This window comes from Homo sapiens, chromosome 11 (genome assembly GCF_000001405.40).
Source record: "Homo sapiens chromosome 11, GRCh38.p14 Primary Assembly".
Taxonomy (NCBI): Eukaryota; Metazoa; Chordata; class Mammalia; order Primates; family Hominidae; genus Homo; species Homo sapiens.
In genome coordinates this window covers 85970993-85983324 of record NC_000011.10, presented here as the reverse complement: position 1 = coordinate 85983324, position 12332 = coordinate 85970993, and the positions used below count along the sequence as shown (strand labels likewise).

The 12332-nt window shown below is 36.2% G+C and overlaps 1 protein-coding gene across 31 annotated transcripts in view; it reads left to right on the top strand.

Annotated features, from left to right (window-relative positions):
- PICALM (phosphatidylinositol binding clathrin assembly protein) overlaps positions 1–12332 on the top strand; it is a 112686-nt gene that overhangs the window by 86536 nt on the left and 13818 nt on the right. For 6 of the 31 annotated variants that reach the window (XM_047427660.1, XM_017018388.3, NM_001008660.3 and 3 more), the window contains 6 exons: positions 1322–1453; positions 1550–1580; positions 2097–2196; positions 5232–5255; positions 6643–6702; positions 8513–8617. In XM_047427660.1, coding sequence (XP_047283616.1) covers positions 1322–1453; positions 1550–1580; positions 2097–2196; positions 5232–5255; positions 6643–6702; positions 8513–8617 — 452 coding nt within the window. The remainder of the gene's footprint in view (positions 1–1321; positions 1454–1549; positions 1581–2096; positions 2197–5231; positions 5256–6642; positions 6703–8512; positions 8618–12332) is intronic. The other 25 variants (NM_001206947.2, XM_047427665.1, XM_017018383.3 and 22 more) reach the window with 7 other exon arrangements.

Sequence of the window (12332 nt, the reverse complement as noted above, 5' to 3'; positions counted from 1 at the left end):
TCTGTAGAACCAGGTTTCCACTTTGTGTTTTCATTAATACCTTGTTAATTTGAAGTGCCTGTAAAACTTTGACACTCATAATTCTGTTCTTACCATCGGATGGCCTTTGATTTTGGTTAGTAATTAACTTTTAGCCATTTAGAGAGAATATATTGAGATGTTCTTAATTTTATAACATATAATTAGTTATCCTTCAAAAACTAAGAAGCAAGCCTATAAAGAATATGTATGGACTAAGAATTTATTTTTTTCTATGCACTAGTAGGTTTATGATAATATTTTTTTGCTGCGGTAGGTTTTAGTTTGTCTTGCCTGGGAAAGTGGAAAGAGAGACCAATCATTGTTGTGAACTATCATCTTTGGTGACTTTCTTTTTCAAACTGTAATATTCCTAGATCATACTATTGAGTCCCATAGAGGGTTTGTTTGATTGGATTTTCTTTTATTTTCTATAATTTGGTGAGGAAAACTTAAAGAATTTTATTTTCATTTTTAAGAATTGTTCTCATTTACTAGATGGGCTTATACAATTACAGTATTTAGCAGTTTCTTAGATATAGTTCACTCTTACATTCTCTGCTTTTAAAAAAAAGGTCTCGGCCGGGCGCGGTGGCTCACGCCTGTAATCCCAGCACTTTGGGAGGCCGAGGCGGGTGGATCATGAGGTCAGGAGATCGAGACCATCCTGGCTAACAAGGTGAAACCCCGTCTCTACTAAAAATACAAAAAATTAGCTGGGCGCGGTGGCGGGCGCCTGTAGTCCCAGCTACTCGGGAGGCTGAGGCAGGAGAATGGCGTGAACCCAGGAAGTGGAGCTTGCAGTGAGCCGAGATTGCGCCACTGCAGTCCGCAGTCCGACCTGGGCGACAGAGCAAGACTCCGTCTCAAAAAAAAAAAAAAAGTCTATAAAATCTTATTTCTTAACGTAAAAGGAACTTTTTTCAAAGTTCCAGAGAGCTATTTTTTAACCTATATTGCTTTAGATATAAGTGAGTCTTCAGAAAATTTTGCTGGGCTAGCAGGAGAATTACATTTGTTTTTTTTCTCTTTTATAATACTTCTCTCTTATCCCCTTTAACCCTAATGTAATTTTGTCATGAGATAAGAGATGATTTCTGTCAAAGCAAATACAGCCTTCTCAGTCAATTCAGTATGAAGTGGTGACTTTCTTCATTTTCCATTTAAAGACATTTACTAATGTCTATTTTTTGGATAACTTTTCCAGTGAATAAACAAGGAGAAAAGGCAAAGACCTCCTTTAGAAAACCATAGCGTCATAAAGTTCCTTACAAATTCTATTTCGTCTGTTTGTAACTTTAAGGCTTTGATGAACTAGGTGGACTTCTCAAACCAACAGTGGCCTCTCAGAACCAGAACCTTCCTGTTGCCAAACTCCCACCTAGCAAGTTAGTATCTGATGACTTGGATTCATCTTTAGCCAACCTTGTGGGCAGTAAGTAGTCTTTGGATACGTTAATCTTCTTTTATGTTGTTTTATTAAACTGCGTCTCGTGTTATAAAATGCTTTTTTGTTTTTCTCCTTTCCTAGATCTTGGCATCGGAAATGGAACCACTAAGAAGTGAGTGTTTAATATACACATTGTTTTCTCCGTGTGTTATTTAGTGTTTTCTCCATGTGTTATTTGGAGGGTTGATTTGGCTTTCCTCTCAAAAATATGTGTAGAGATATCAAGTCTGCATCTTTTTTTTTTTTTTTTGACACGGAGTCTCGCTCTGTTGCTCAGGCTGGAGTACAGTGGCGCAATCTCGGCCCACTGCAAGCTCCGCCTCCCGGATTCACGCCGTTCTTCTGCCTCAGCCTCTCAAGTAGCTGGACTACAGGCACCCACCACCATGCCTGGCTAATTTTTTTGTATTTTTAGTAGAGACGGGGTTTCGCCGTGTTAGCCAGGTTGGTCTCAATCTCCTGACCTCAAGTGATTTGTCCACCTTGGCCTCCCAAAGTGCTGGGATTACAGGCATGAGCCACCACGCCCAGCCTCAAGTCTCTATCTTACTCTGTTCTATATAAGTATATAGCTAAGGAAACTTTATAATTAGAGACATTTAATATTCTCACTTATGTTTATTTAAAGTGATGTAAATTGGAGTCAACCAGGTGAAAAGAAGTTAACTGGGGGATCTAACTGGCAACCAAAGGTTGCACCAACAACCGCTTGGAATGCTGCAACAATGGTGAGTTGAAAAAGCTCCTGATAGACTAACAGTTGAATAATTTAGTTAAATATGTAACATGAAAATGTTTTTAAAGTGATAGACATAAATAGAAGGATTGTTACTGAGTTTAGAAGTATAAGTAATTGTATTTCTTTCAAAGGAAGCTGGTTGCCTATATTTACCAGATACATTTTAGTGGCTAACAAGTATTTAAGGGTTACTTTGTGCCAGACATATTCCAGTAAATAATAATGTTTTATTTTTTATAATCCTCCTATTAATGTGTTAGTCACTATTATTATCCCTATTTTACAGATGAGGAAGTGGAGGCTCAGAGTTATTAAGCAATGTGCTCAGGATTACAGAGATCTTAAATGATGAGTTGAATTTTTATAACCTAGGCAGCCTAACTATAGAACATATGTCCTTAATCACTACTCTATATTACTGACCTCAAATTTTTTATTTATTTTTCTAAAATACAAAATCTTGTGATTTCATTATTGGTAAAGAAACTATACTTGCTTCGGTTTTGTCATATAATTTATATATATGACAATGTGTTTGGCAATTATATATATGTCATATAACTTACACAGTTGATACTCATTATTTGTGGCAGTTAAGTACTTAAGTCACCCCAAACACTGAATTAGTGAACACTGAACCCTTGCTGGGGGAAATATATGCATATATGTATATGTCACATAGACGGTCCTTTTAGAAAACCTCATTCTAGTATATTCTATTTATTTTATGAAAGAGGAAATAAAGTTCAGAAGTGTTAAGTGACTTGCTTAAGGCTGTCGCACTAACTGGTGCCAGAGTTGGAATTTTAGCCCTGTCCAGCTGGCCCCAGAGTCAGAGTTTCTTGCAGTATGATGGACTCCCCATCCTCCTTCTCTATCCTCTGGTCTGGTATGAGAGCTGAACCAAGGCAGAGTGTCCTTTGTTCCATCTCAGCTGGAGGTGAACTGTATTGGATGAGTCAAATTTTTGCCCCTCTGCAAATGAGCATGAATGGCCTTGAAAGCACCAGGAGTGTTGATTTTTGGTGTCACAAAGTTTATCATGTAGGTGAATTTGCAAATATGGAATCCATGAATAATGAGGATTAACTGTATTTTCTAATTAAATAATTAGCATCTAGTAATGAAGAGGTTTTAGTATGTTTTAATTACTGTAAGGTATGGTAGACCCAGAATAGCTCTGTGGCTATTCTCCTGTCCTTGGCCAGTTTCTATCTTACCAACCAACAAATTTTCGTCAGTCAAAGAAAACTCCTTGTGGAAAAGTTTGAAGCATTCTTTCTCCAGACAGTAGGCTAGTAGCTGTGTTTTGATTACACGGGCTACACGTTACTGACAGCTGTCCTGTTACTGTTAGAGGCTGCGGTTGTCCTTATAGCCACTTCCAGAGCACTGCCCTGTTTTCCGTGGGTTAATGATATGTTAAAATTAGTAGGACTGAGCTAAAAATAGTATGTTTGTTAAAATTTGTGCATTTTATTATATAGCTTAAGACTTCATAAATGGAAAGTAATATTGAGATTTAGCTACCTTTTTAAGGCAGTGTTTTTTTGTTGTTGTTTTTGTTTTCTTTCAGACAGTGTTCATTGCCATCACTAATTTTATTATTTTGTATTTTTTTTTTTTTTGTGACGGAGTCTTGCTCTTTTGCCCAGGCTACATTGCAGTGGCGCGACCTCAGCTCACTGCAACCTCTGCCTCCCAGGTTCAAGTGATTCTCCTGCCTTAGCCTCCCGAGTAGCTGGGATTACAGGTGCCCACCACCAGGTCCAGCTAATTTTTAAATTTTTAGTAGAGACTGGGTTTTATTATGTTGGCCAGGCTGGTCTTGAACTGCTGACCTCAAGTGATCCACCCGCCTCAGCCTCCCAGAGTGCTGGGATTACAGGCCTGAGCTACCACGCCCAGCCTATCATCACTGATTTTAAAACTTTGCATTTAAGTAGTTTAGATTTTTATACACACAAATACACAATCTTAAACATGTAAATGTTGCTGTCTTGAGGGAATTGGAGCATGTATCACCCCACTTCTAAAGATTTTTTTTTTCCCTAAGTGCAAAGCAGTTGAAAAGCAGATTTAAGTTGAAATCCATCTCTTTGACTCTGAATCCAGTCTTCTTCCCACTATAACACACCTCACTGACTAGGGTATGGTAGGAGTTTAGAGTAGTGGATTTTATGGACTCGTGTGAATTATGACATTGATGATGTATGAGGAATGATATAAATACCAGTGCTGCTATTAAAATATAATGAATATTTTCTTATATTAAGTTAGTATTAATCTATATGAAGTATTAGGAGTTCATAGATAGCACTTAAGACTGACTACTAAAATGTAGTAGGTATTTAGTCATGTAGAATTTGTATTTAAGTTGATAAGGTAACAGTCTTTATCTTGCTGTGTTATATATGGTAATGTGTATCATCTCCTAAGGATTTTGCTTAAATATTTATATGTATTTTATGGAGTTTTCTTTTTAATGGCTAATGTTTGGGGCTGATAATGTGATTCACTACTTAAGATAAACTGCTGCTTTTGACATTTCTTTACATTTCTAACCTTTTTATTAATCCTTAAACACTGTCAAGGTTTTTCAGTGTTTTTTAAATTTAACACAAATTCATTGGAATTTTATTAAAATATATATTATACTACAAATTCTTTTAATTAGTGCTTGCTTTTTTTCTGTGGTAGACATCTGATGCAACCCTGTTTATGCAATGCCCAAAATTTTGCACTGTTGACACTGTTGATAGAATTGATGTTTTAATGGTACTTGTAATCAATAAACTATTTTTTATATAAAGAGATGAGGCCAAAGACTACAATTCCCTTGTCAACCTTGATAGTGTTTTAGTATAGATGTTCTTTCATTAGATACTGGAAATACAAGGGATTTTAGGTAGTTAGTGAATGTACATGTGAACTAAAATGCTCTCTGTGTATTTTCTGTTGTGTAAGTACTTGTTCTAATCCAGTGTTATTGCATTATGTAATTGTTCTCCCTGGGAAAAACAGAATGGCATGCATTTTCCACAATACGTAAGTGACCAAAAACGAGCCTTTTTGCAATAAATTGGCATGCTATTAACCACTGCTGTAGCAGAATCTCATAACCTTTCAGCTATTACTTGTTTTCACATTCAGATTTTCAATGTGCCAGAAATTCTTCCTAGCATCTACTGATTTCATGGGTGTGTTGCAGAATTGATTCTGATGGTGGCATGGGAAATACCGATTTTTTTTCTTGCTTAATATTCCGCCATTTGCTGCCAGATGGCTGGGTGTCTGTGTGTGTATCTGTGCTGCCACTATGCACTTGATGACTTCTGAATGAAGGGAAATGTTGATTGTGGTAATGTTTAAAATAACAACTGCATGAAATCTTACAGGCTTCTGCTCTTCTTGGCAGTTTGTCTACTGCTCTTGCAGATCTTGGTTTTAAGTAGGGAGAGACCAATAAGTCCTACACGCTCACCCGAATACTAAACTTATAACTATTCACTTTAGTGTTATTTTTTTAAAGTTATATTTCATTTAATTTCTCCATGCATATGTTCAAATTGCCATATAATTTCAGTTATTTTATGTTTTAGCAGTGTTATTGGTCTTTCACCTTTATTCAATTTCAGTTTTCATTATGAGAAACACACACAGGAAATGTTGTTAAGACAGCAACTATATCTAAAATGATTCTGTTCTCAAATTGTATGTTTACAGATAATCAAAGTAGTAGGAAGAGGGGAACTTAAACATCATAGTGATAGATGGTTCTTTTAAACATGAAAGCATAAACTGACCTAATTGATTGTTCCTCTTAAATAATTTTTGGAATAAATTAGAAAGCTAACGTACATACTCTATATAAGAACTATGGCTCATAGAAATAGTCATACTCAATAGTAGTTTGAAACCTTTGGAGTTTTTTGAAAAGAGTGAGTAAGATCCTTAGAAACTAACTTTTTGGAAGATCAGGTTATTGATTGATTTGAGATCTTTACATTTTTTTCTTTGAATGCTAAAGCAATCAGGTACCTAAGTAAGAAAACATTCAATAATACTTTTTCTGGGTAGACATTTTTTAATGATAGTGATAGGCTTTAAATTTTAGAACTATTTAGAACTATTTAAGATACTTTTTTAAATCTAAAGATTTTTAAAGCTGTAAAAAGCATGATGAAATCTTAGATCACTGCTGTATCTAAGTTTAAGTGGTATAGTTATCCTTCTAATAAGTCTGCTTTTCTGCTAATTTCAAAACACTTTTTTTCACTGACCATTAATCGACAGTTCTTAATGATCACAAGTGTCACTTACTCACAGCTGTCTTAGCAATTCTTTTTAGTGGAACTACAGCTACTAATTCCTTGAACTCAGTTGACACACATGAGTTATACTTTCTTGTTCATTTTTCCTTTCACTATGTTAGGCACCCCCTGTAATGGCCTATCCTGCTACTACACCAACAGGCATGATAGGATATGGAATTGTAAGTATTTTCCTAGGTACAGCTTTTGGAAAAAATATTGATTCATATATAACATGTTTTTATTACAATTTAACCTAAAAAAGAATTTAGTGCTCCTCATACTCCTAGCCCTAGTGCCTAATGCAGTAGAACCATAGCATTGGTTTCATAAGTATGTCTAGAATAATCATTATACAAGAGATCTTATGCATTAATGTTCATAGTATTACTTGGTTTATTTTTCTCCTCGTAACTTTGCTGGGCCTTTTATATTTCAAACATTAATGTTAATTCTAAGCCTTTGTTGCTGTGACCATATATTAAATACCAGTGAGGTCTTATAACCTGATATTGTAGGGCATGGGAGGGATTAACACTTGAATTGTATAGAGATAAATTTAGTCTGATAAAGGCTAGAGAAATTTTCCTGTGACAATGATTATTACAGTACAAAAACAGTCTTTTAACCTTTCAAAATGCCACAATGTGCATTTTAGATTGCCCTTAGTTTCCCAACTCTCAGTATATAGAGACTCAATTAGAAAAGAAATGGTGCTAGTAGCTTCAACCCACTGGTATGTATTTGAGGAACTGTTCCTGGTAGAAGGCAGTACCGTGTCCCTTGGTATTGCTACTGTGCCTGCTATGTTACTTCTTTATGTATATGATATGGAAGTAACTCCTTTTATACATGTGGAGAAGTTTCACAGCTTTTTTTCATAGTCATTGCATTAAAATGTCTGCTGAGGCTGGGTGTGGTGGCTTACGCCTGTAATCCCAGCACTTTGGGAGGCCAAGGTGGGTGGATCACCTGAGGTTGGGAGTTCAAGACCAGCCTGACCAATATGGTGAAACTCCGTCTCTACTAAAAATACAAAAATTAGCTGGGTATGGTGGCGCACACCTGTAATTCCAGCTACTTGGGAGGCTGAGGCAGGAGAATGGCTTGAACCCAGGAGGCAGAGGTCACAGTGAGTTGAGATCATGCCACTGCACTCCAGTCTGGGCAACGGAGCAAGACTCCATCTCAAAAAAAAAAAAAAAAAAAAAAGTCTGCTGAGAAACTCAGGCCATAAACTTAAAATGAAGCTCTAAATGCAAATAGTAGTCTGCTTGAAACAATAAATAGAACTTCTTGAAAGGAAAGATTTTAGAGCATTGCATTTTAACCAAAACAGTATTCTGTTTGTGCATTATTTTTACACTAGGTATTGTCACTTACTAGGTTAATTTTATACCCTGTAGTGGTAATTTTTAAAGAAACATATTTGGTTGAGATTGTATTTTCAGTTACTCAAGAAAGAGTTAACCTCTGGTTTGTAGTTTAAGCTCTTTCTTGATTCTTATATGAAATAAAATGGAAGAACTAGAGCAGGCTTATTCAGAGAATCAACTGTCTTCACTTGTGATCACTTGCATAATGGCAAAAGTACTTGATTTGTTATACAAATTTACTTTGAAATTTCTTAGCAGCGAAGACAGAGTCTTAAGTTTTCTTGATGTCTAAACCTGATAAATTTGGAAACTCTTAGTCTTAATCATTTTATCTGTTGTAATACAATAAAGTTTACATTTTGCAACTCATTGAATAGAAAAAGTTAGGCTTTGTTACTACATTTTAAAAATGAGCATGTTAAAGACTTTACTTACCAAAAGAAAAAAAAATACTCTCGAAAGTTTGTAGCTGTTAGTCTTACTTATATTCAGAGGAAGTTACCCTTTGAGTCAAGCAAAGGTACTAGGACCTGTCATCCCTGTTGTCATTGTTATTTACTTAGTCACAATAAGGAAGATAGGAGTCAGTATCTTTTGATATTTTTCTCTTTTTTAGCCTCCACAAATGGGAAGTGTTCCTGTAATGACGCAACCAACCTTAATATACAGCCAGCCTGTCATGAGACCTCCAAACCCCTTTGGCCCTGTATCAGGAGCACAGGTATTACACACTACATGTAACTGTGGTAATGTGTTTGATTTGGAAGGAATATGATACTATAAAACCCTTTTGTACAACTTGAGAAACAAGTTACTAGCACTTTCTACCTTCATTATGGATATTGCTTGCTTCATATCTTTCTTATATAAGAGCTTTAGGAATATTGATTATTTGGAGGGAAAGGATAAGTAGATAGCAAATACTAAAGACAGAAAATTCTTGGTAACTTATAGTTGGTAGATCCAAAGGATGATTTTTCTGAGATTAAGGAGCCTACTTGCTCTTCGTGATTCTGGTGTAGTATCCTTTGTGAACCTCAAAACCATTAACTCAGAGCTTTAGTTCCTTGGCTAATGGCTAGAATGATGCTACAGCAGGGCGTGTTGGCCTTGAGATGCTTGTGAAACTCTTGGCAACTCTCCAAAAAGTTTTGAATGTTATTTTTTCGTTAGATAACTTTCTGCCACTGAGGATTGTTTTCAAAAACCAAAAAAAGGAGTCAAAAAGCTTGAAATGTCATGCTAAACTTAGATGGTTTAATCCAGAGACTTTCCTCTTGACGTGTTTCTAAGGCTTTTCTCTCCTAGTTCCTGAAAATACACCATAAATATACATTGTTTTTTGTCCCATTATTGTTGCATTAGAAGAATTTTTTTTTTTTAATGTTTTACCCGTTACGGTTAGAAGATATAGGAAATTCCTTTGTTATTCACTTCTCTGGTGGCATACTCTGGGATGAGGCTCTTGTGAAGTGATAGGATGGTTTATCCTTCTGTGTCTGTGGCTCTGCTCGTACTGTTTTGACATCTAGAAGTAGTTAATTATATGCAATTGTTAGAACACCCCTCCTTTTCTTAAATGGTTGCTAATGCTAACTGATTGGTTATGTGTTTAATGCTTGAAAACATTTGAATGAGCATTTGCTTAGTGGACTTGTTATTCCCCTTTCACTTGAATGCATATATATTACATTTGCCAAAGCATATAGTCTTACATTGCCAATATTAGTTTATTTGATCCAATTTGAATCTAGTCTCTGTGCACGGTAGTCCCCTCTTCTCTTTGGGGGATATGTTCCAAGACCCACAGTGGATGCCTGAAAATGGGGTAGTACTGAACCATATATATGCTATACATACATACCTCTGATAAAGGTTAATTTATAAATTAAGTACAGTAAGAGATTAATAATAATGAATAATAGAACAGTAACAGTGTACTGTAATAAAAGTTTTGTTAATGTGTGCTCTTGCTCACGGACATGCTTGCTCTCTCCCTCTCTGTCTTTCTCTTGAACTATCTTAATATCCTCTACTTACCTATTTTCAGACCACGGTTCACTTTGGGTAACTGAAACCACAGAAAGTGAAATAGTGGACTGTATTTCATAGACTAGTGAAGCCTAGGCAATCCTTTCATTTCTCAGCCGTTTTGAATAATGCGTCTCTTAATAAATTGATATCTCTGTTTGGCTGAGAGTGGGTAGTGAATTTAGTTCTGATTAAGGGGTAAAATTCATGTTGGTTGCAATTAATACATTTACCAACATGCCTCTTTTTTTACCCCACCCTTTGTCCATGTTAAAATGACTTCCTCCTTGTTCTTTAATCAGTTAAGTATTTACAGTGAAAATTGAAAATAACTTGGAGTGAGGGTAATTGACACAGTCATTACTTTTATAAGTCAGTCACTTTTTGTGCATTTGTTTTTATAAAATAGACTATGAGTGTTTACAGTATTTATAGTAATTGTTATTGAACTTTTACCAGCAGTAATCTCATTACTGGTTTAACTTGATAATCTTTTAAGAAGTATATGGATGATTTCCCTATCTGTTGTAGATGTTTTCTTGATACACAGTTAATGTCTTTTTCATGTCCTTTTGTTTTTTATTTTGTTATTTGTACATTTAACTTCAGATATGTATCATTTACTTTAAAAATTATTATTATTATTTTGGTACAAGAGACTAAGTGATAGAAACCTAAATGTATTTAAGTAATTTTTTTTAAAGCTATAGTCCATGCTAAAAACTTATTAGGGACCTTCGACTACAGAAGTGTTTTTCCTGATATGTAGTTAAACCCTTCACCCACTCTGCATCTTGATTTGCAGGCTGTTGTCAGAATATATTGCTACCTTAAGCTTGGATACTACCAGACAATTTCCAATTACTTTCACATACATTGTGTTAGCCGATTCTTTAAGGTAGATGGGTCTGCTCTCACCGTCACATTTCATAGGTAAAGAAGACAGACTTGGAAGGGTTCTTCAACTAATTAAATGGTGAAATCAACTTATCCCCAGGTGTGTCTGATTCCTAGTCCAGTGCTCATTTATACCACAGTCTCTCTGCTAGTGGTACTGAGCCCTTACTGGCCAATACGGTAGCACCATCTTCTTTCGTCAGCAGTGAACAGTCTGCACACTCCTTAGGTTTTTCTGCTAAATTGTAAACCACATTTACACATTCAGGATGTAACTACTATAGTTGTAAAGAATATTCTCTACAGTTTTGGGTAATAACCTTCAACCTTGAAACATTGTGTATGAGTTTTGCTTTTTAAAAACCTAAACATTTTTTTTTAATGTTGGCAAAAATCTACCTTTAAAAAATTTCTTGTTGGCCAGGCACGGTGGCTCACGCCTGTAGTCCCAGCACTTTGGGAAGCCAAGGTGAGTAGATCACCTGAGGTCGGGAGTTCAAGACCAGCCTGGCCAACATGGTGAAACCCTGTCTCTACTAAAAATACAAAAAATTGCTGGGCTTGGTGGTGCATGTCTGGAATCCCAGCTACTTGGGAGGCTGAGGTGGGGGAATTGCTTGAACCAGGGAGGCAGAGGTTGCAGTGAGCCTGGATTGGGCCATTGCACTCCAGGCTGGGCGACAAGAGCTAAACTCCATCTCAAAACAAACAAAAAATTGCTTGTCATCCAGCATCTGCTCTGTTTTTGTTTTGTTTTTTTTTTTTGAGACAGGGTCTTGCTCTGTCACCCAGACTCGAGTACAGTGGTGCGATCTCGGCTCACTGCAACCTCCATCTCCCATGTTCAAGCCATCCTCCCGCCTTGGCCTCCTGAGTAGCTGAGATTACTGGTGTATGCCACCATGCCTGGCTAATTTTTGTATTTTTTTTAGAGATGGAGTTTTGCCATGTTGCCCAGGCTGTTCTTGAACTCCTGAGCTCTAGCAGTTCATCTGCCTCGGCCTCCCAAAGTGCTGGGATTACAGGTATGAGCCACCGTACCCACCCAGCATCTGCTCTTAACCCAGGTTTTACGTCCTGTTGCCTTCTAAAACCCACATAACCGTTTCACAGAAACACCAGAAAAGTGCCAGAATTTCCTTGTGCATGAAAAAAAACAGGGACAGAAATACCTTTTCTTAATTACTTTATATCAGAAGAGAAGTGAATGAGAACATTAGGGTAATAAGTTTCTAGTTGAAAGATAAAATTTGAAATGAGTACTTAAGTATTACTGAAAAAGCAAATGAAGGAAGCAAATTGATAACTAGGAAAATAAAATCAGGCAGCAATGAAATGGCTTGAAGAAGCTTTGGTCTCTCTACATAGTCATTTGAATCATTTGAAAGTCAGAATCTTAAATTTGTTAATGTTACTTTTAATTATTTTGTAATTCCTTTGTTCTGCATGTATCTAATCACAAAGTCTCACTAATTATTCCTCTGCTATAATTAGACCCACCCTTCTCC